We start from the raw sequence: 23047 nt of genomic DNA, 5'->3' as shown, positions 1-23047 counted from the left end.
GGTGGTAGCGGTGCCTGACACGCATTTCATTTTTATTTAACTTATAAAACCTTGGGGTGAGTGCTTCTGGACACACAAAAGCTTTCATGGAGTGCAAGAGTGGTGAATTTTTTCTCTTTTCAAAATGGAGGCGTGGCGCATCTGGACACACACATCAGTTGGCCTGACCTGTGCGTTCGCTACAGGAAGTAAAAGTTTGGATGACATCACTGCAGGGTTATTTCTTGTTATTGTAATTAATGGACCAGCAGGAAGTAGCGAGACAGATGATTCTTGGCAGAAATGACCATTTAAAGGGGGAAGGATGAAGAGGGTCTGGGAAGGAAGAAACCTTTCTGGACATTTAAACTCTCCAGGGATGAAATAGGGAAATACGTAGACAGTGCACAAGGAACGAGCCATCTCTTGCCAGAGTGGATATAAAATTGTTAACCCCTGCTACAACTCAGTTTCTGTTTTTCTCTCTGCCTTCTCAGAACAACGCCGACCTGACTGGCACTGGGTTTTGTCTGGTCCTTTTGTGCCAAGTGTGTCTTCCACGTCAGGTCGGTGGCAGGAGAACTCGGAAAGTGAAGTCTGTGCTGCGTGGAGAGGCGCGCTGCCTCTCAAGTCCCAGGTGCTCTTTTGTGTGAGTGGAAGGAGCTGGAAGGAGTGTGGGGCTGTGATGAAAGAAGGGAGGTGGCCGAGTTCCTGGGGAAAGAGCTGAGTGGTGACAGTGTTCCTGGACAGAACTGAACCTAGAGGAGATCTTCTGGACCCAGAGGAGATCTTGACCCTCCTTGAAGTTGAGCCTCCCATGGTGTGTAGGGGCCAGAGCTGACTGGGCGATGGCCGTGCTCCCAAAGTGGTTGAGCTGGGGCTAGAACCCAGCTGCTGCCTGGACCAGCCTTCCAGGGCCAGTGTCACACCCCAGCCCACCTGAGTGGAGTTGACAGGGTTGGAGCCTTAAGCCACGTTTGCTCAGGGTCGTCTTCTGTGGCCCAGAGGTGGATGCTGCCTGTGGTGTTAAGGGATGATAGTGGGGTAATGGGGGTCTGGAGCTTGGGAAAAGAAAGGAATAGAGGAGGCTCCTCATGGGAGGGAGGGAGGGAGTAGTTCATTTCTGTGTACGGTTCCATTGTGTGATGATAGCACAGATTATACACCCATTCTGTGCGTGGTCATTTGGGATTTGTAGCTTTGAGCTGTTAGGGATGCTGCTGCCATGATCATGTCATTTGGTGCACATGTGCTACACGCATGTCTGTTGAGCACATACCTAGAAGAAGATTGCTGGCCCATTGGGATACACATGCTCAGCTTTGGTAGAAACCGCCTGGTGGTTTTCTAGAAGAGTTGTACCGATTTCCACTCCTGCCAGCTGCGCATGGGAGTTGTGTTCCACAGCTTTGGCAATTCTTAGCATTATCCTCTGCATTTGGCAATTCTGGTGCATTTGTAGTAGAACCTCAGCACGTTTTAATCTATATTTTCCTGGTGCATATTAGATACCTTTTCATTGGCTATTTGGGTATTCTCTTAAGTTCCTGTCAAGTCTTTTGCCTGTTCTAAAAATTGCTTTGTCTGGATTTTTTTCTTACCGTGTCTTAGTCCATTTTGTGCTGCTGTAACAGAATACCACAGAATGAGTAATTTATAATGAATAGAAATTGGCTTGCAGTTTTTGAGGTTGGGAAGTCCAAGATCACAAGGTTGGCATCTGGCGAGGGTCTTCTTGGTGTGTCATTCCCTGACCAAGGGGCAAAGAGAGAGGAGAAAGAGAAAAGGGAATAAAATTCACCTTTTTATAAGGAACCCACTCGCACGATAACAGCATTGATTCATTAATGGGGGTAGAGCCTCATGGCCTAATCACCTCATTAACGCCCCACCTCCCAGAATGATGGGGGATTAAGTTTCCAGCATACTCTTCTTGGGGGCCATATGCGAACTGTGGTATACTGGAACTGTAGAAATTCTTGATATATTCTAGATGGAAGACCATTGTTGCATATTTTTACTGAAATATGTTCTTACTTTGTATTGTCACTCTATAATCTTTTTGATGAGCAGAAGCTTTTTATGATGGCTAGTCTTAGATTTTATGGTTGATGCATTTGTGTCTTAGATCACCGTTGTCTACCCAAGATCCTTAGGACATTCTCCTTTGTTTTCTTTTAAAAGTTTGGTTTACTTTATTGAGTCTGCCTGGCGTCAGTTAGGAGTCCAGGTTCCCACCTATTATTGTTTTCTCGGCTCCGCCTGTGGAAGTCGTAGTCAAGGTAGGACTCATGGTTCCACAGGTGGCTCCAGTGTCACTGTGCCATTGAGCTGCCATCTCAGCTCATTGTACTTCTCTGCCAGGTTAAACCTGTAGCTGATGAGGAACAGCCCTGAGTGATGTGTGGGGTCCAAGTTGTTGAGAAGGGCCAAGGAAACGGAAGTACTACACAGAGTGCTTCAAGGTAAGAAAGAAGTTACTGGAGAACAACACTGAATACATGCTGTGCACTCTGAAACGTACACCCAGTCACACTTACTTCAATGTGAAAAGGACAGTGTTCGCCAGGCACTGTGGCTCATGCCTGTAACCCAGCACTTTGGGAGGCCGAGGCGGGCGGATCACCTGAAGTCAGGAGTTTGAGACCAGCCACGGTGAAACCCCGTCTCTACCAAAAATACAAAAATTGCTGGGTGTGATGGCGGGCGCCTGTGATCCCAGCTACTCAGGAGGCTGAGGCAGGAGAATCGCTTGAACCCGCGAGGCAGAGGTTGCAGTGAGCAGAGAATGCACCACTGCACTCCAGCCTGGGTGAAAAGTGCAAAACTCTGTCTCAAAGAAAAAGAAAGAAAAAAAGACAGTGTTCACTGCAGAGGGTGCATCCCAGCTAGGTCTTCATGGTGCACCAGACAGGTCATTGCCTACAGCCAATTGTCTGCAGGGGATCCTTGTTGCCCTGAGCTATTTTGTTACATTCTTCCTTATGTTCACTATATTCTCTGAGACCTTCATGTAGCTGCTGCTTTCAGGAGACTTTGCCTTGAGGGACTGATTATCATATTCAGAGAGGGGGAATGCTGCTGGTATCTAGAGGGTAGAGGCCAGGCTTATGAACATACCACAATGCACAGGAAGGCCCCCCACCACAAATAATTGTTAAGCCTAAAATACCAACAGTGCTGAGGGGGAGAGATACAGCTGAACAGGTACTGAGAACATCCCCAGCATTCTGTGGTGCTGGGTGGGATTGAAGATCAGGGTTCACGGTTTCCACGCCTGGGCCGTGGGAGTAAGAACAGACCGTCCTGGGAAAGATGACATCAGACAGACTCCAACCAGCACCAGACCCTGATTGGGAGGAGTTTTCCCTCTCATATGTCGCCATGTCCGGACCCTTTCCGGGGGGCAGCACGCAGAGATGCTGGCCATTTTATGTGTCCAGTCCTGGTGAACTTCACTATGTTCTAAGAGAAATTTACTTGTATCTTTCTTTTTGGTGAAACTTAGCTGCTATAGCCATAACAATTTGTATAAATGCCTATATGAATCAAGGCAGTTGACTTTCCACCTAAAAATTGTTTGCCACGTACAAATCGGTTTCCAATTTTATTAACATGTTTATCTTACTTTAAAAAATAAATCCCATTTGAAAGAGGTGCAGAAACCAGCCATGCATGATGGCTCACGCCTGTAATCCCAGCACTTTGGGGGGCCAAGGCGGGCGGATCACTTGAGGTCAAGAGTTGACCAGCCTGGCCAACATGGTGAAGCCCTGTCTCTACTAAAAATACAAAATATAGCTGGGTGTGGTGGTGCACGCTTGTAATTCCAGTTACTCAGGAGCCTGAGGCAGGAGAATCGCTTGAACCTGGTCAATTGAACTCGGGAGGCTGCGGTGAGCCAAGATGGCGTCACTGCACTCCAGCCTGGCGACAGAGGGAGACTCCATCTCAAAAAAAAGAGAGATGCAGAAGCCATTGAAGAAATCTCATCGTGTTTTTGAGCTTCTAAGTGGACATCATCAACATTGAGATTAAGAAAGAAAGATGATGTAAAATGTAAGAGAGTGGCCCTTGCCATTGCAGACACTGATTTATTGGGCAGGGCCACATCTGAAGACTTGGGCGAGCCGGCGTGGAACTGCTGTGGCTGTTAGCTTTCTCTGACACTGTGTTCTTGGGCTCTGGAGGTGGGATCTCAGCTGTTTGCCATTCTGTCATCTCTATTTATTGCATCCAACCGTTAGTAATGACTTAAATGATGATTGCCAAAACTGTAGTCAACAGTTTTGTTAGTGATTTGGGGCCTTGTAAAATAATTAGTCCTGAGACATGTATCAAGGGGAACATACTGAATATCTGAGACTAGCTTTTACTTGATTTGAGCCTGCAGGTCCTGCTACAAGATCCTGTGTGTGCTCCAGGGACCTGCAGGCAGTTACTTGGGGAATCAGCCATGCCAGTGGTAGGTGGTAGTTCCTCCCCAGCTACCATGAGGGCCCCAAGCAATTGGCATCTGTTTCTTTGTTTTGGCCTTCTTGTCAGTTTCCTTTTTTTTTTTTTTTTTTTTTTTCTTTTCTTTTTTGAGACAGAGTCTCACTCTGCACTCTGTTGTCCAGGCTGGAGTGCAGTGGTGCAATCCTGGCTCACTGCAGCCTCCGCTTCCCAGGTTAGAGCAATTCTCTTGCCTCAGTCTCCCGAGGACCTGGGATTACAGGCGCCTGCCATCACACCTGACTAATTGTTTTTGTTTTTAGTAGAGATGAGGTTTCACCATGTTGGCAAGGCTGGTGTCAAACTCCTGACCTCAGGTAATTCACCCACCTTGGCCTCTCAAAATGCTGGAATTACAGACGTGAGTCACTGCACCCAGCTTCGTCAATTTCCTTTTCTTGCAGGACAGATAGGAGCTGTACGTGGATTCCTTTTTCTTTTTTGAGACGGAGTCTCTCCAGGCTGGAGTGCAGTGGCGCCATCTTGGCTCACTGCAACCACAGCCTCCCGAGTAGCTGGAACTACAGGCGCACGCCACCATGCCTGGCTAATTTTTGTATTTTTAGTAGAGATGGGGTTTCACCATATTGGCCAGGCTGGTCTCGAACTCCTGACCTCGTGAGCCACCGTGCCCGGCCATGTATGTGGATTATGTTCTGGCCAGAAAAGCCCATGTCCAGGTCTCAGGGTTTGTCCATGGTGTGGATGTCTAGGGCCCAGACTGGCCACCCTCAGCCCAGAGGAAGTGCCTGTCTTGACCTCTTGTCTTCCACCAAGTACCCTGCGGGCAGCTGACTGTTCCGGCCCATTCCCCTCAACAACAGTTGCCAGATTCCGTTTCCTGCTTGCATCCTCTGTTTCTTAATCTGCAGCATTTGCAAAGGTGCAGGGTCTGCTTTGGGAATGTTTGGGGGTGGTGGTACGCATTTCACGGTATCTGGGAATTTGGTTTTGTGATGGAAGGAAGAACCATTGGACCATTAACTATGGTTTTAGAGAGTTACTGTCTTTCTTCTAAGCGTTTTATTCTTCACTGGCTCTAGTCAGCCTTGCTTTCTAAAAAAGCTCTTCAAAACCTGGCGGACTGGTCCATTCTCCTGTTCCTTGGCCAGCTGTCATCACCATTAGCTCTGTTTTAATTTGCATCTTGTAAGTTTTTACTGCCATCTTTCAGGTCTTACTTCACTTTTGGGGTGGGACCCCTTCGCCTTGTTCCAGCAGTTGGAACTCAGGTCTTCAGCATGTTGGATTAATTTCCTGTCCCACTTGGGCTCAGGCTCACTGTACCAATGACCAATTTGTTAGCCGGCTTTGCTGCTTCCTCCATCAGGAGCACACAGCAAGTGTTCTGCATTTTATTAATATTTCCTGGTTTTTCCATCATCCCTGAATCCCTGGCTGGCCCCCTAGTCCAGTGCCAAGGGCCGTCCAGTGGCCTTCAACCAGGCTCTCATGTTCTTGGGCCTTCCCGCAAATGCTCCTTCCCTTCCCAGAGCAGGGAGCCTGCCCCTCGCTGCCTCTGTTTCCCCTCTCAGCAGGCGGTGGTTGCATGGGTGAGTGGGGCACAGATACGAGGTCGTGGCAGCCCTGGCACACGGCTCGGGAGCATCTGGATGTGCCTGGAATATGCTTCCATGCAACAGAGAGCAGCATCTGCTCAGAATTGGGGAGGGAAGCAATCACCGCATACGGGGCATTTTGTCTTTGCAGGAATGCAGTGTGAGGGAAGTGGGTGATTTTCTTTTTTTCTTTGGTTAAAAAGTTTTTATTTTAGAAAAATTTTAGGCCAAGCATGGTGGCTCGCACCCGTAATCCTGGCACTTTGGGAGACTGAGAGCAGCCTGGCCAACGTGAAATCCTGCCTCTACTAAAAATACAAAATTAGCCGGGCGTGGCGGCAGATGCCTGTAATCCCAGCAACTTGGGAGGCTGAGGCAGGAGAATCACTTGAACTCCAGAAGCGGAGGCTGCAGTGAGCTGAGATCACACCACTGCACTCCAGCCTGGGCAACAGAACGAGACTCCCTCTCAAAAAATAGAAAAAATTTTAGATTTACATAAAAATTGTGATGATAATACAGATTTCATATACCTCACACCCAGTTTTCCGTATTAAAATTGGTAATCATTATTATTATTATTATCATTATCATTTTTTAGAAATTGAGTCTCACTGTCACCCAGGCTGGAATGTAGTGGCCCCATCATAGCTCGCTGAAGTCTGTAGTTTCTGGACTCAAGCTATCCTGCCGGCTCAGCCTCCCAAAGCTCTGGGATTACAGGCATGAGCCACCCCACCTGGCCTTTCCCTATAATTAACATCTTACATTAGTACGATACATTTGTTTTTTGTTTGTTTGTTTGAGACAGAGTCTCTCTCTGTCACTCAGGCTGGAGTGCAGTGGCACGATCTCGGCTCACTGCAACATCTGCCTCCCCAGTTCAAGGGATTCTCCTGCCTCAGCCTCCCAAGTATCTGGGCCTGCAGGCACGTGCCACCACACCTGGCTAATTTTTTGTATTTTTAGTAGAGACCGGGTTTCACCTTGTTAGCCAGGGTGGTGTAGATCTCCTGACTTTGTGATCCGCCTGCCTCGGCCTCCCAAAGTGCTGGGACTACAGGCCTGAGCCACCCGTGCCCAGCCGGTATGATGCATTTGTTACAATTAATGACCCATATATATATATAAAACTGCTGAGCTCAAGTGATTGGCCCAGCTAGGCCTCCCAAAGTAATTGATCCATTGTTATCCAAAGTCTGTAGTTACTTAGGGTAACTTTTTATCTTTCTATATTCACTTCTTTTGGGGTTTGTGTGGGGGGGGGAGGGGGGCAGGGTATGGAAAAGGAAGTAATTTTACATCTTTACTTTCTGTCAACTTCCTGATGGTGGTGGAGTTGGGGAGTAGGGAAACAACAAAATACTCTGTGAGAACCTCCATTAAAGGGGAGACTCTCAGCAGAAATCTCCATGTCCTGATTAGATGGCACAACAAACAGAAATGACCGTGTCCTGGCTTGGGGATTTAATATTGGAAAACAAGCTTGTCTTAATGGAAACTTTCAGCCAGTAATTTTGTTTTCTTGTTTGTTTGAGATGAAGTCTCACTCTGTCGCCCAGGCTGGTGTGCAATGGCACGATCTCAGGCTCACTACAACCTCTGCCTCCTGGGTTCGTGGCAGTTCTCCTGCCTCAGCCTCCTGAGTAGCTGGGATTACAGGTGTGCACCACAACGCCCAGCTAATTTTTGTATTTTCAGTAGAGATGGGGTTTCACCATGTTGGCCAGGCTGGTCTTGAACTCCCAACCTCAGTTGATCCACGCACCTCGGCCTCCCAAAGTGCTGGGATAACGGGTGTGAGCCACCGCACTTGGCCATAGGCAGTATTTTTGTGTGTTTGAAACTCATCATTGTGGGCGTTTACAAGTTGGACTAATTCCAATACTGATTTTGGAATTTAAAGCTTTATAAAATCATAACGCAATTTGTAGTGTTGTCAATAGAAGGTCCTGATTTGTAGGAGCTGGCTGGCAGGCAGCTATTAGGGGAGGTGGTCACTCAGCCAAGACAGGCAGGGAACAGGAAACCCTTGGTCCTGAGAAAGGCCCCTGGAAGAGGCCAGCCCCGAGACTGTTTGGCTAGTGGTGGGGGTGGGCACCAGCTCTACCCCAGCCCTGTGAGTGCATCGTTCCCTTCTGTTCCTGTAGCTGATCTCCCTGCCCCAGCCTGCGATGGGAGGATCAGCAGTAAAATAAGTTGTCTAAGGTCGCGTGTCAGGATCCAAAGGAGAACCCGGTGCTCCAGCTGGCTGAGGGGAGAGTGGGGCCTCGGAGACAGCAGGGGCAGATTCCCCCAGCAGGGCAAAGCAACCCTGACCTCCAAGTTGCAAGGGAATAGGTGACTCAGGGAGTACCTCCTGCAGCCCTGCTGGTCTCAAGACTCCCACCTTCCAGGGCCTGGTCCTGTGCTCAGAAACCCCTCTGCATAGGGTGCTGATGAGTCCTCTGCAGCTCCCTCACCCAAGGGACCACACTGGGAAACCCAGTAGTTGTCTCGGCCATGGCACTAAGACCTTTGCACCCTGGCCATCTTGTTCCGGGACAGCCAGCATCTGTGGTGTGGTATAGAGACAAAGCTGCCACCTCCAGGACACTTGCTCCTTCCTGGCCTTCCTGCTGCCCTGAAACCTGTGGCCTGTGTGTTAGTGGAAACATTCTCAGTTTCATTGCTCAGTAAACCTTAGGTTATCCAAACTGCAAATAAAATGTTCTCTACTTTCTAGATTTTTATAACTTGCTATTTTGAGAGAAAGGGGATGGGGTTATGTGTGCAAATTAACATTTTCTTTTGGTTTATATAACTCCCTGTCTACGTAGTTTGAATTCTTTAATGTAGATGAAGTTTCACACTCCTGAATTTGGGAATGGTCATTGTATGGTGTTCACCCTGTGCCTAGCAGAGGCTCAGTGAACATCTGTGGTCAGAATGGACGTGTCCTTCGCAGATCAGGATGGTCGTGGGGCAGAACTCTGGTGCAGCTGTGAAGCTTCCCAAAATCCTCTGGAGTCTGTGGGCCTGGGCCGCATGGTGAAATTGGCTGTCATCTTCCTCGCTTTGCTTTCTGGCTGCTTGTTGGGGCTGAGTTGAGGCCCATCTGACTGTCTGGAGGTAGTGGGTATTCATCCGTTGTTGCTTGGCACCAGAGGGCAGGTAGATCCTGTGGCAAGTGGACAGGTGAGAGGCCCACCAAGGAGAGGTGAAATTGGGGGTGCCTCCTAGGGTATACATCGGACCCGCCCTGGGTCTGCAGCCCGGTGGCTTCTTGGGCAGACACTGCACTTGGCGGCTTCAGAGGTGAGGGCACAGAATGACGCGGGTCAGGGAGTCCCACCATGGGCCCTGCCCATGGGACTTGATGCTTGGGTCAGTGTACAGGTCAGGGCCTTCCTTGAACTAAAGGCTACGTGCACAGACTGACAGCTGACACTTGCTATAACTTACTGCTTTGAGAGAAAGAGAATGAGGGTTATGCGTGCCATTAATATTTTCCTTTGATTTCTCTCATATTTTGGTTTACATTATATCCTTTGCCTGGGTTTTGAGATGGTAAGATAAGAAGTTTGATAAATGGCATATATAAAAGCAGTTTTTTCCCTTCTAAATGGATATTTTTAAGAACAGTTTGATTTACAGAAACGTCTAGAAGGTTACATGGAGAGTTCCGTATCTCCTCACCTAGTTTCCTTATTATCATTTGACATTACATTAGTATGAGACATTTATTAAAATTAATGAACCAATTATCAATACATTAATATTAACTGAAGTCTACATTGTATTCTGATGATCTGATATCCTTTTTCCATCCCAGAATCCTGTCCAGTTTTTCACCTTGTATGTCACTGTCTTTCTCCTTAGGCCCCACATGGCGGTGGCAGTTTCACAGTCTTTCCTTATTTTTGATGACCTTGACAGTTTTGATTATGATAGTATATTTTGTGGATTGTCCCTCTACTGCAGTTTGTGTGATGTTTTTCTCATTCCTGGGCTGGGTTATGGGTTTCACAGAAGACTTTTTTTGTGTAATCTCTAAATAAAAAAATTCTTGAAAGAAAAAAGTGTAAGCCTTTGCCGGCCAATAATGAATCGCCCCACATAGCAGGTGGACGTGGGGGGTGTCTGGTTGTCCATCAGTAGGAGTCGCCCTTCCCTTATACCTGGGCCTGGTGGTCAGGCGGGGACTTCAGGAATTCAGCAGCCTTGCCTGCGTTCAGCTGACCAAAGACTTTTCCATGGAGCTGGGAAGACTGCCCAGGGGAGATAGGAAGAGGCACGTCGCACACACTGGGCTTCCCTGGAGACTTCTGGATTCTCGAGTTCACCCTGAGGCATTTACTGATCGACACATGGGCTAGTTCCTTTTTTGTTACATTTTAAAATTCTGGTGAGGTCGTTCCATTTATGGATAAGAAACCCCCAGGTGTGAAGGGCTCAGGTGATGTACCCAGAGTCACACAGCTCACGAGTCAGTGGCAGGACTGGAGATTACACTGAAGGTTGGTGCACTGTGCTCCCTGGCTTCTGTGCAGGTGTCACCCTCCTCCACCAGGCAGACTTTGAGTCGTGCAAACAGAAAAGATGCTGCCCACACTTCAGGGCCATGCTTCCAGTCCCCGTGAGCTACCCCCAGCAGGCTCCTGTACGAAACATGACAGCACTTTCTAGGGTGCTTGGCCGTGCCTGCTTCCCCCGTTACATCTGCGCACCCTGCTTGCCTTCCGTTCCTGCCCTGCACTCACCTAGCATGGTGCATGCACCTGACTGCTTAGAAGGCACGGGACGTTCTGACTTGATGTTTTCCCGATTTCTCGCTGGTCCTGATGTTGGTAGCTCCATGTGACACAAAGCATTGAGTCTCTGGCTCTGCTGGGGTTAGGATTTGGGATGTGGCTTGGTAGAGGGGTGGCTGCCTGTGCCTAGCCATCGCCATGTTAACAGAAGCTGTGATGTAGGGGCTCATAGCTCACATCCCTCAGCCAAGAGCCACTGGTCACTCAGACGTTGTCCTGGGTGTTAGGACATCAGCCTGAGCATTAGAGGGAGTTCACCATCAAGAAGATGACGGCTTTTTTTTTTTGGCTAGAGTGCCATGGCACAATCAGGGCTCACTGTAACCTCTGCCTTCTGGGCTCAAGCGATCCTCCCACCTCAGCCACCTGGGTAGCTGGGATTACAGGCGCATGCCACCAAGCCAGGCTAATTTTTGTATTTTTCTTAGGACAGGGTTTCGCCATGTTGCCCAGGCTGGTCTCAAGCTATCCTAGGCTCAAGCTATCCGCCCACCTCAGCCTCCCAAAGTGTTGGGATTATAGGTGAGAGTCACCACACCCAGCCGATGATGGCATTTTTCTGATAGACTGGAAAGCCAGCTGAATGAAATAGCTAGAAGAGGACAGTGACCCTCAGCTTCTTCATATGGAGCACGAATGGATGTAAATTTAGTGGGATTTCTTTTCCACTGGGGCTGGCCACAAGAGCTGGCAGTGTGCTCCTACAGTGAGTCCCTCCTCTAACTTTACCTCCCACTTTCTCCCTCCGGCCCCCTTAGCTCTCAGCTCAGAGACCCACAAAAACAAATCCTGGGGAGCTGACTGCGCAGGATGTGGACTTGGTATTTCCCTGATACTGGCATTTGTTAGCCGGATCCTGCCTCTTCCCTTCGCCACCTCGCCTTCCCCAAAGCCCCTGCGGGCTTTGCTCTTCCTTCCCTTTATTTTGCTGAAGTTGACAGTCAGGTATGAGCTGCATTAAAATGTTGACTCATCCTTGGGTTGTTTTCAATTTTTTAAAAAGTGCACATTGAGAAAAGCACAGATTCATGTGTGCAGCACAGGAAATCATCACAAAGAGAACAAGGCTCTTGTTGGGGGCATTTGAGTTCAAGCAGAGTGCCCCAGTTGCAAGACTTCCATTTGGATCTGATGATGGCTGGACCTCCCTGGAAAGACTGGAACCTGAAGAGCCCAGTCAAAGAACAGTCTGTCAAGCAGCCCCTCCGCAACCACAGTTTTTGTGCAGAGTGGTTTGGGGAGCCCATGGAATGGGGACAGTACGATGTATTTTCTAGTGGCAAACATTTCATCATCAAGTGAGAGTTTCTTTGCTGGGCATTTCCTGTTCTGTGTGAAACAGTTGTGGTTACCTGTGGGTGTGTTTCAGATAATCATTAGAGCATATTCTCTGCTCGTTAAGCAGTAAAACCAGTGAGGTGGGGAAGCTTGTGAAACTGAAATCCCAAATATGCAAAACTTGGCAAGAAAGTAGAGAAGAGCCAGACCAGCTCTGAGCTAAGTCACCAAACCAGAAAGGTTTCATTCTTTGTCTTTTCTTCCTCTGTCTTTAACCACAAGCCTTGGGCTGAATCCCCACATCTCACTACACAGTCAGGGAAGCAGGGTCAAGGCTGACTGGGGACACTGGCGTGGCGGGAATGGGTGAAGTCTCCTGGGTGGATAGTCACCTCTCTGCCTTTTTTGAAACTAAACTTCTCTGATTTTTATTTCAAGTTGTCCTGAAGAACATGATTCTAAAACAGATTCAGAGCACGCACTCTGACTATAAATAGAACATAAGGCAAACTTGGACAATGGATTGTGGCACTTTTTTTTCATGTACCTGAAATTCTTAGAGTTGGGGCTCTCTTCCCTTGAGAAGTAGAACTGCTATTCTTCGGAGACCGATGGGTGACCTCAGCATTGTCCTCACCAAGAACGCTGTTTCCCCAGGGATTGCACCCCTCCCACCACAGTTATTTTTCTCTGAAGGCCTGAGTTTGGAAGAAGTACTTGCCTGTTCCCGTAATTATGGAAACCGGAAGGTAACTTACCTGTTTGTGCCTGGCCTAATTCAGATTAGAAAAAGATCAATCCATTGTTGTCTAATGGACAGGGGACAAATGATGAAGAAAACAGAAATAGCCCATAAAATGATAGGGATGTCCCGGCTCCCAGGCAAACTCTGGTGAAAACCGAGGAGACTATGGTGTTCCCTGAGGTATTCACCATCTAACTGTCTTCCACACCATATATATAAGCTGTTTATAAATTCTTTGTCCTGGCCAAAAATACAAAACCTACTGGCAGTGATTTATTTTTTTAATGCATTTTAAATAACTGGATTCCTATGTGGAATTGGAGTTGGATAATTAAATTACGATGGCCTCTAAAGTTGGGGTGCGGGGGGTTGAGGGCTTCAGCAGAGAGCACCCCTGGAAGGTGGCACTGCAGCCTGGGGGTGGGGGAAAACCGTGCCTGATGGAGTTGCTGCAGGGGTCCCTACACGGGGTGTCCACCCTTCTTGCCCAGACACCCTGTGGCTTTGAGAATCGCTGTGACATAGCCACGGGAGAGCTGTGTCTGCTTAATGCTTTTGTTTACTTTGGAAGTTTGTCCTACATGAATGAATTCGCAAAACTTACATTCCCCGTAAAGCTGTCACTGAGAGAAAACACAGCAATAACTCAGGTGATGTAGTTAAACCACCATTGAGTTTGCGCCATCCATGAGCTGATAAATCGTACAGCTTCATTTGGTAGGAATCAGCAATTTTATGTGGCAATTAATTTTTACTACTGTAGGGGAGCCAGAGGATGAGCATTTTACTTCGGTTTTGTGTGTGTTGAGAGAAACTTAACGGTTTTGCCACAGCAAGAAAGGATCGTGCATGAGGCCTTTCGCACGAGTCGACGTGTTTGGGTGTTATCCTGGGGTGTCCTTGCCAGCTTTTGTTGGTTCCTCACGTGGGCAGAAGAGTGAATGCTCAGTCCCCATCGGGGTGCCACAGGCCTCATGACGTGTGGGGTAAAACACGTATGTGGCTTGCGGAGAAATAAATTCTCCGTATTTCTTAAGTATGATGTTTTTCCCCACCAGACCGATTCGCCCATGCTGTTTCCACATCAGAGATGAAGATGTGCGCAGAGTAACACGTAATTAGCTTTCCAGATTGCTTCGTAGAAGGATAATGTGATAATTTTCCCATTGTTCGTTTTTGGTTCCACCAATGATGGCCATTTAGCACAGCACACAGTTGCGGCTGAGGTCCAGCTCGAGGCTGGCCGAGGCTGTGCACAGCTGCCCAGGGCCCTGCCTCGCTGCTGGGGAGCTGTCCTTTCTTTGGCTGAGCTCTCTTCCTGTGGAGGCCCAGCCTGCTCACTGGAACGCCAGAAAGATCATCTGAGCATAGTTGTCTGTTCAGCCAGCCTCTCTTGGGGCCATTAGGAAAACGGGTGCACAGCAGATGTTGTTCCTTGGGTGCCCTCAGTGGTTTATTTTTTATTTTATTTTATTTTTTTGAGATAGAGTCTCGCTTTGTTGCCCAGGCGCCCAGTGGCGCAATCTCAGCTCAGTGCAACCTCCATCTCCCAGGTTCAAGAGATTATCCTGCCTCAACCCTCCTGAGTAGCTGGGATTACAGGCGTGTGCCACCGCACCCGGCTAATTTTTTGTATTTTTAGTAGAGAGGAGGTTTCATCATGTTGACCAGGCTGGTCTTAAACTGACCTCAGGTGATCCAGCTGCCTTGGCTTCCCAAAGTGCTGGGATTATAGGTGTGAGCTACCGCACCCGGTCCCTCCGTATTTTTTATTACTGATGGCAGCGACCCTAACCCTAACTCTAACCCCTCGCGCTGAGTTCTGCTGCGTGCTGCCAGCGGGTGTCTGCTGTCCCAGAACCTCCCCGCAGCCTTCAGAGTTGTCCCCACGTTACAGTGTTAGAGCTTTAAACAGGACAGACTTAAAAAAGCAGATGTCCTCATCACCCTCATTTCACGTGCGTTCTCTTACAGACACACCCTACTAGGCCATTATACAGTAAACCCTAGCTTCTATTACATCAACAAATAGTTCAGTGTATTTTCCTAAAATAAAAGGACTAACATTTGCTGAGTTTTGAGAGCACCCCTGTGTCCCCCCATTCAGGGGCACCTCTTTCTAGTAGTCCAGAACCGAGGCTGGACTCAGTCGTCCCCTGCTCACCCCGTTTTCCCCTGTAGGCACCGTTTTGAGTCCGCTGGGTTCTGCTTCTCCAGCCCTGGTGGGAGCAGTCGCTAAGGGCCCTCTCGGTTTAGCAATTGAAACAGGAAGTGAAACACACAGGAGTTTAGGTCCATCACAAACTCAGGGCGTGGACGATCCCTGGGCTACCCGGCTTCGGTCCCACCTCCACCCCAGCTGTGTCTTTGGCCCGTTGTTTTCTACCCTGGGCCTCTGTTTAGTCATTTTAGATGAGGAAAGCATACCTGGTTCCTAAGACTGTTGGGAGGAATGAGTGAATTCATGCAAAGTGACGGGAACAGTGTCCAGGATGCCGTGAGCCGGGGAGCCTGCTTATTGCTACAGCTGCTCCTCTCAGTAAGGGTGTGACAGTTGCAGTGACCGTGAGGAGGTGGCACCTCACCGAGGTGCATCTGAGAACCCAGGAATGCAGGCCAGCTCACAGGTCCAGGATGCTGCACGGGGGCTCCGTCTGGCCTGTGGTACCAGCTCTCAGTTGCCTCTGGCTTGGTGTGGGGGCCTCAGGCTTTGCTGCCGTAGACGCTGTTATATCCTCCCATACCCAGATCACCTGGTGTCTGAGTCCCAGGCCACTCCTGGAACTGGGATGTGTGGGATTTGGTGTCAAACTGGCTGTTCCTTGGAGCAAGGAGGAGGAGAGGTGAGGGAGGTCCTGTTCCTGGCGCTGCAGGGCCTGTACCCCTTCCTGTCCACAGGCCTTCTCTGGCCTTCCCCTGGGGCAGCTAGGGGTGTGGAGCAGGGCGGCTGCCAGTGGAGCCACCGTCAAGGGAAGTGTGGGTGTCGCCCCGGATGCCCAGCGAGAGCTTTCCCCTGAACCAGAGTGTCTGGTGCCAACAGCGCCACCAGAGGGGGCCGTTCCACTGGAAGTCCTATCGGGAAGTATTTTTACAGCGCTTGGCTGTCCTTGCAGACGAAAATAAGATGTTTGCTTTAGCAATTTGCTTAGCCCTGAAAACATTCCTAGACAATGCCAGGGCCTTAGTTGAAAATAGTATGCTCAGCTTGCTGGGATGGTCCCAGGAAGGATGTTTTGAGTGAAAATAAAATGGTACATACCAGGGCTGTTTGCCACCGCAGGAATCCTGGGAGAGTTCAGCATTGAGGGTTGCCGGGAGCCGGGATCTAGCAGGGGCTGGCTATGGGCTGCCCTAGCGTGCACCCCTGGGGCCGACCGGAAGATTCCAGAACAGGGAGAACTGTCTGCAGGTGTCACCCTGCATGTTGCTCTTTCCTCCCTTTGCACCTTAGCACACCAGCCCCCGCGGGTCAAGAGGGGTCTCCAGCTGCGGTCCACAGTCCTGGCCTCGGCTTCGTGTCCTCTAGGTTGGGGCACCGGCCTCTCTGGGGAAGCCTGCCCGTGTGCTTCTTATTCCTCGACTGTGAGAAACTTCTTTATCCATCTGCAATCTCTCCTCTTGGCTTCCCCTCTCTCCTGGTCATGGTTCTGCCCACGCAGAATACACCCAATCCCTCTTCCGCATGACTGCCCTGCACATAATCACAGGCAGAGATGGAAACTCGGGAACGTTCCCTGCTGGGGATGAGCATTGCCATTCTCTTCCACAACACATTTGCAAGTTTTTCACTTGCTCAGAACCAGTGTTGCAGGTAAGCCGCAACAGACACACACATGTACACACACACACACACACACACACACACACACACACACGTGGGGGGAATGGAATATCATGACCAGTAGTTAAGGAAAAATGCATTTCTGTTTAAAAGCCATGTTTTAAGAAAAAGTACTTGAACTCAAATAATGACGAGTGACTTATTTCATGACATTTGTCTCTGAGACAAGGTGGCAAATAGTATGCTATGATCATTTGTCGTGTGAAGAGTGAAGTCAGAGTAACCCGCTCAGCTCCAGAGCTTTGTTTTCCTCTGCGGATTCCCTTGGCAGCATTTCTGTGGAGGATAAAAATAGCACACGGTGCCTTAAAATAAATGGCTGTGGGGAATGCTTGTGTACATCAGCTGCGTGGCCACATATGTTCACATTCTCCATATTGTTCACTCTTCAAAAGAGTGACTGGGATAGACGGTTCGAATCTGCCCGCCATATGATAACTAAAGTGACATGGAAGAGCCTTTGGCCCCCGGGAAGGATGACTCCAGGGATGGGCAGTGGGGCAGGCTCAGGTGTGTCAGACTCGTGGCTAACCCGCGAGGTCCTGCAGGTGAGCCTTTTCTGTCCTTTACCCCATTTCATCCTAAGTGTCTCCCCACAAAAGATCAGCAAAGCCAGACCCAACACAAGCTCCCAAACAGGCCCCTTCCTGACTCCCAGTGAATCCAGACAAACGCTGACAAGCTGACAGATTCCGCCTCCTGGAGCTGGTGGGGGTGGGCGGGCAGGAAATTGGCGGGGCGAGAGGGGCAGCACACTGAGCTGCCCACTGATGCAGTGTCAGTGGCCTTGGAGCATGGCTTCTGGGGTCGACGTCAAAAAACAGTGTGAAAATCTTAGCGTGGACATTAGGCTAATGGGTCCAGGTCAGGTGTGGATCAGGATGGGTTGGTGGTGACAAGCCTTGGGTCTGGAGTAAATTCCATCTAAATCATGTCACTTTTGGCTGGAGTGCAGTGATGCAATCTCTGCTCACTGCAACCTCCACCTCCCAGGTTCAAGCCATTCTAATGCTTCAGCCTCCCGAGTAGCTGGGATTACAGGCGTGCACCACCACACCCGGCTAATTTTTTGTATTTTAAGTAGAGACGGGGTTTTGCTATGTTGGCCAGGTTGGTGTTGAACTCCTGACCTCAAGTGACCTGCCCGCCTCAGCCTCCCAAAGTGCTGGGATTCCAAGCGTGAAACACCATGCCCGGCCTCAATTCACATTTCTGAAGTGAAATTGCGTATGTCTTACCCCTCACGTACCTTCATATCGCTGATTTTCTCCTCTATAAGCCAACAAAACCCAGCAGGATCCTGAAACAACTAGCATTGCTTGTGTCTCCTTTTTACTTAAACACGCCTCCCACCCCCACCGCCCACACTTTGTTTAGCACCAGCAAAGGAGACAAAAGTGACAGTGCCGTCTCCAGAAGGTTCACGCAGTGAGCCTCCGGTATCCATGCAGAAGCCTCCCCCTGCCCATCCTAGTGGTAAGGAAATCTCCTGAAGGTCCTCGTCACCTGCCTGACCGTGGGGATGTGCTTTTGGTGGTGGTGGAATCTCCGTGTGAAGAATTTGGTAGACTTGATTCTCTGATCTCTCTGTGCCTTTTTATTTTGAGACAGAGTCTCACCCTGTCGCCCAGGCTGGAGTGCAGTGGCATAATCTTGGTTCACTGCAGCCACCGCCTCCCGGGTTCAAATGATTCTTCTGCCTCAGCGTCCTGAGTTGTGGAGATTACAGGTGTGTGCCACCACACCTGGCTAATTTTTGTATTTTTAGTAGAGACGGGTTTCGTCATGTTGGCCGGGCTAGTCTCGAACTCCCGGCCTCAGGTGATCTGCCCACCGCGCCACCACACCTGACTAATCTTTGTATTTTTAGTAGAGTTGGGGTTTTGCCATGTTGGCCAGGCTGGTCTCAAACTCCTGACCTCAGGTGATCTGCCCGCCTCAGCCTCCCAAAGTGCTGGGATTACAGGTGTAAGCCACCGCGCCCGGCCGTGGCTTCACATTTCAACAGGGGAATAGTTGCGACACACGCCCATGCCTCGCTGTGTGAACACCGTCCTCCAGATCCTTGGCGGTTAGCTTGGAAAAGGCAAAACTCAGGGGGAGAGGAATGGATGGTTAGATCAGGTGAGAGCACCTTTATGGGACGGTGCCCAGGAGGCATCTTGTGAGGACGCAGCACTGTGTGTGCAATCGTATCACGTGAAGAACTTTTAACATCTTTCTGGAGTTTTCTGGTGCCTGTATTCTTTATAGTGGGTGACTTTGGGGAGGGCGCAGCTGCATATTCCAGGCTGGCTGGGTGCAACTGGGACCTCCACTTTGCCTACTGCACAGTGGTCAAGTTCAGGTGACAGTCCAAGAGTTTCTCCCCGTCAGGGCTCCTGTAAAACTCTGTAACAGTTCATAAAGAACAAGCAGAATACTAACTCCGAGAGGCCTCCAAGTTAGAAATGCTTTAGAGGAGAAGGCTGAAAAAGCACCTCCCGCCACCCAGCTCGTTGATGGCATGAAAGCACCAGGCCTCATTCCTGCCACGGCCCTGAGCCTGGCTTCCCGTGAGACCCTCTTGGGGGCCTGTGGACAGGAAGTGGGACGGCCAGGACCCAGACCTGTGACCTGCGTCAGAGTGTAACGAAGTCCAGGCCAGTCTGTTGCCCGAAGCACTGGGATGCTTTTTACTGAAGGAGTGTTTAAAAGGTAAGCTGGATCTCAGACAAAGCTCCTCCAAGAGGCTTCCAGAGGCTGGAGTTTTGTCAACAAATGAAACAGGCCCTATTTTAAGCCACGCTGTGTACCAGGACTTCCTGTTTTTCCAGAGAAACTTCTTGTTTTGGTTTTTGTGATGATGGATTTATTGAAACATTTGCTATTCAAGTGACCCTCTTTGTGTTCCAAGGAAAAAGTCAAGCTGGAGATTCTGTGGCCTGGAAAAGGGATACGCACTCACAGCAAAAACGTCATCCCCAAAAGACTCAGTCGGGGGGAGTCTGGGCCTCAGTGGCCGATCAGTGAATGGACAAAGAGCTAATTGCCAGTCAGGGGCCCAGACGGATTTCATAGCTCGGGGTTTGGCCTGTTGTTTAGAGGGAGGCGGGGGCTGGTCACAGGACAATTGAAAGGGGTTTTTGTTGTTCCTCTCAGGCTAAGTTAAGCCATGTGTGTGTCTCTCTTTCGAGGAGTGCTGGTCTGGCCAATCCCAGCCACGTAAATCCCACTCACTTCCTGCTGACCTTTTGACACCAACAGATGTTTTTTCTTACAAGTGTCATTAGGGCCTCTCTACTCGCTGACCTCATCAGATTGTGTTGAAGTCGTTTTCATCGGTTTTGTCTCTAACAATCCGTTTAACCCTTCCTGGGTGCCTCTCTGGGAATAAGATTGCACTGCCTTCTGGCCTTGCTGTCTCCCTCCTGCCCCCAGGACCTGGCATGGGGAACGGAGCCCAACCCAGAGGGCAGAGAGGCATGCTTCCCCGGCTGGGGGCTGCCCTGTGTACCCCGGGGACAGAGGGACCCTTGTGTCTTCCTCGGGAAGGTGTGATGGAGAAAGCAATGAGGGGCTCAACAGGTCCCTCGGAGAGAACCTTCCAGAGCTCTGCCTGTGGATACATGCTCTGATCACACAGCTCATCAAGCACTGGGGCCACAGACACGGACTGGGAGGTGGGTCCCCATGGCACTTGTGTGACCTGTCCGCATTGCTGCCCGTGATGGGGTTGGGAGCGATGGAGTTGGAGGTCCTAAGGCCACGGAAGTTTCTGTAGCCAACATCCCTCGACTAAGAGTGCAGACTGTCATCTGACCTGACTCTGTGGCCGTTCTAGAGGCAGGAGGATGGCGTTGGTCATTTAACCTTTCCATGAAGCTGAGGCACAAAGAGCAGCTGTGGGGCTGGCGGGTGACTAGAGGGAGTGAGTTTTCAGCAGATGACCCTGACTCCTGGGCCGCTGTGTTGTGATGTTATCTTACAGGCTCTGGGCCTCCTGGGCTCCTTAGAGCCAATGGCACACTCTTCTGAAGGCATCTGGGGTGGAGGGGGAGTGTGTGTATCCTGCCTGCACCTGAGGTTTCGGGGACTCACCTGAAGCCTCATCCAGAGCTGACAGACATCTGTGCTGGGCGTGTCCTCCTCCATGGCGTGCACGCCTTCACTGTGCAAACCAGCCCAGCAGAATGGAATTGCTGGCTGCTTATGCATTGTGTCAGTTACTACTCACAGCCGCTTAGAATAGTTCTCATCGCACATGGAGCATTCTAGAAGTGGTAGCTGCTTTTGTTTATTAGTTATTATTATTATTATTACTATTATTATTATTATTATTATTTTTATTTTTGAGACACAATCTCGCTGTATTGCCCAGGCTGGAGTGCAGTGGCGTGATCTCGGCACACTGTAACCTCTGCCTGTCAGGCTGAAGCAATTCTCCTGCCTTAGCCTCCTGAGTAGCTGGGACTACAGGCACGTGCCACCACACCTGGCTAGTTTTTGTATTTTTAGTACACACGGGGTTTCACCATGTTGGCCAGGCTGGTCTCGAACTCCTGGACTCATGATCTGCCCACCTCGGCCTCCCAAAGTGCTGGGATTGCAGGTGTGAGCTGCCACGCCTGGCCAGTTAGCTGCTTTTAAAGTCATGCATGCAGCTAAAAAGCGTTCCAGCCTCTTGGAGCCTCCTCCTTCCCACAGTCCCACTCCTCAGAGGGACTCCCCTGCCAACAGTTGGGTATGTGTCTACCTGCCTCTTTGATTTTTTTCTTTTCATGATTTTACATGCTAGTCTGGCTTTTTGCTTCTGCAGATGTTCTGTGTCTGCTCTGGAGAGCTCTCCCTTGGAGTGTGGTTCGGGGATTGTGGGGTGTGGCTTTGTGAGACGTAGCCGTGTTTTGCATCTGGCTGGTGTGGCTCAGTCTGACTCCACAAGCCTCTGCAGTGCTGCTTCTGGGGGAGCGGGAGATGTACATCGGGGTCCTAAGGACATAGGACTAGGAGTGACCTGGCCATGTTGAGTCTCAGGTTCTCTGAAGTTTGGATTTGGTGACCTCTACAATCTCAGAAGGCTCCAGAAATGCCGTGATCCTAGGAAATCATCCAGGGCCACCCAAGCATCTGGGCACATGAGGGCATGGCACCTGCGTGGTTTTTGCAGCCTTCCCATTTCTGCCCCTTGTGTTGCAGTTGAGGCCAGCTCCTGCCTCGGCTCATGGTGTTCCCTGTCTCAGAAGCGGCTGTGTTTGTGCCCTGAACCTCTGTGCAGACTGCCTTCAATATTTACCTACATGCTCTTTTTCTCTGAGAGCTCAGACTTAATCGTAGCTGCAGTTCAAGGACCACTTTTAAGAAAAAGCAAGAAGGTCTGTTTACCCAGTGAATTACCATTCAGAGGGGGGTCTAGGAGGCTGCATTCTTAATGTGGGGCCCAGGCTCTGATAGATCTTTTTAATGTTCCCCAGATTTATGGGTGTGCGTGAGTCAGAGTGGAGACCCCAGGGTGCCTGAGTTAACTCTGTGCATGTTGAGCGTAGCCCTGGAATTTATTTTAAGCATCTGGGGTAAGTGAACATAACAGCAGACTTTCCGTTCCTTCAGCTTGTACGCATTGCTGTTGTGAGGAGAATAGCGTTTACCCCAAGAGTTTACAGAAGTGGATATATCACAGACCTCATGTCAGTCTGGGCAGCGGAGGATTTAGAGGGTTTCGCTTGTTTTTTGTTAGTGTTCTCTGTCCTGTAGGTAGTATAAACTAGACGCCATGCATTACAAATGTATTACTGTTTTTATCTTTTCTGTTGAACTGTACTGTGTCAGTGACCATAGTCAGTGTGATAGTTTGTGTAAAGGGTTGTATTAGTTATCTATTGCTGTGTGACAAATTACCTCAAAATGTAAAGGCTTAAAACAACAAAACTTTATTGTCTTGCACTGTCTATGGGACAGGAACCTGCACAGCTTAGCTTGGTGCCTCCTGCTAGGGCCCTGACAATGTTGCATTCAGGATGTCAGTGGGGTTGTGGTCTCATCTGAAGGCCCGGCTCGGGGAGGGTTCAGCTTCTCATGGACTGTTGGGACTGAGGGCCTTGGTTTCCTGTTCCGTGGGTCTCTCCTTAGGGCAGCTGGCATGGCAGCTGGCCTCTGGGAGGGAGGGAAGTTGGCAGGGAAGATGGGAGGATGCCCACACTGGTAGCCACAGTCTCTTTTAACCTAATCTCAGAAGTGACATCCCCTCACCTGTGTATACTGTTTACTGTTTGTTTAGAAGCAGAGCTTGTACAAGGACATGAATTCCAAAAGGTTGGGGGTCCCCGGGGGCCATGGGATTGATTCTTTTTCTGGCATCCACAGTGTAGATGGGATCTGCCTT

At 49.7% G+C, this 23047-nt stretch overlaps 1 protein-coding gene across 26 annotated transcripts in view, besides 6 other annotated features; it reads left to right on the top strand.

Annotated features, from left to right (window-relative positions):
* The window catches only part of CTBP2 (C-terminal binding protein 2), a 178147-nt gene that overhangs the window by 85277 nt on the left and 69823 nt on the right, over window positions 1–23047 (top strand). For 2 of the 26 annotated variants that reach the window (XM_047424668.1, XM_047424664.1), the window contains one exon: window positions 2344–2444. The exons of the other annotated variants lie outside the window; for them this stretch is intronic. The gene's annotated coding sequence lies outside the window, so the exon portion shown is untranslated. The remainder of the gene's footprint in view (window positions 1–2343; window positions 2445–23047) is intronic. 26 annotated transcript variants of the gene reach the window in all.
* Window positions 13607–14204: an enhancer, noted in NCBI's record as "H3K27ac-H3K4me1 hESC enhancer chr10:126751552-126752149 (GRCh37/hg19 assembly coordinates)". NCBI's record gives its function as "activates a minimal SCP1, AML or CMV promoter by ChIP-STARR-seq in primed H9 embryonic stem cells {active_cell/tissue: H9 hESC(primed)}" and the evidence as "EXISTENCE:reporter gene assay evidence [ECO:0000049][PMID:30033119]".
* Window positions 14960–15039: an enhancer, noted in NCBI's record as "active region_4191". NCBI's record gives its function as "activates an Ori minimal core promoter by ATAC-STARR-seq in GM12878 lymphoblastoid cells {active_cell/tissue: GM12878}" and the evidence as "EXISTENCE:reporter gene assay evidence [ECO:0000049][PMID:35858748]".
* Window positions 15378–15579: a silencer, noted in NCBI's record as "fragment chr10:126750177-126750378 (GRCh37/hg19 assembly coordinates)". NCBI's record gives its function as "represses an EF-1alpha promoter that drives an FKBP-Casp9 reporter gene in an ReSE screen in HepG2 liver carcinoma cells {active_cell/tissue: HepG2}" and the evidence as "EXISTENCE:reporter gene assay evidence [ECO:0000049][PMID:32094911]".
* Window positions 15450–15499: an enhancer, noted in NCBI's record as "active region_4190". NCBI's record gives its function as "activates an Ori minimal core promoter by ATAC-STARR-seq in GM12878 lymphoblastoid cells {active_cell/tissue: GM12878}" and the evidence as "EXISTENCE:reporter gene assay evidence [ECO:0000049][PMID:35858748]".
* Window positions 17917–18664: an enhancer, noted in NCBI's record as "H3K27ac-H3K4me1 hESC enhancer chr10:126747092-126747839 (GRCh37/hg19 assembly coordinates)". NCBI's record gives its function as "activates a minimal SCP1, AML or CMV promoter by ChIP-STARR-seq in naive H9 embryonic stem cells {active_cell/tissue: H9 hESC(naive)}" and the evidence as "EXISTENCE:reporter gene assay evidence [ECO:0000049][PMID:30033119]".
* Window positions 18665–19413: an enhancer, noted in NCBI's record as "H3K27ac-H3K4me1 hESC enhancer chr10:126746343-126747091 (GRCh37/hg19 assembly coordinates)". NCBI's record gives its function as "activates a minimal SCP1, AML or CMV promoter by ChIP-STARR-seq in naive H9 embryonic stem cells {active_cell/tissue: H9 hESC(naive)}" and the evidence as "EXISTENCE:reporter gene assay evidence [ECO:0000049][PMID:30033119]".

This window comes from Homo sapiens, chromosome 10, assembly GCF_000001405.40.
Source record: "Homo sapiens chromosome 10, GRCh38.p14 Primary Assembly".
In the NCBI taxonomy this organism is placed as follows: Eukaryota; Metazoa; Chordata; class Mammalia; order Primates; family Hominidae; genus Homo; species Homo sapiens.
Note: the sequence above shows the minus strand (reverse complement) of the source record. Positions and strands in the feature narration are given on the sequence as shown.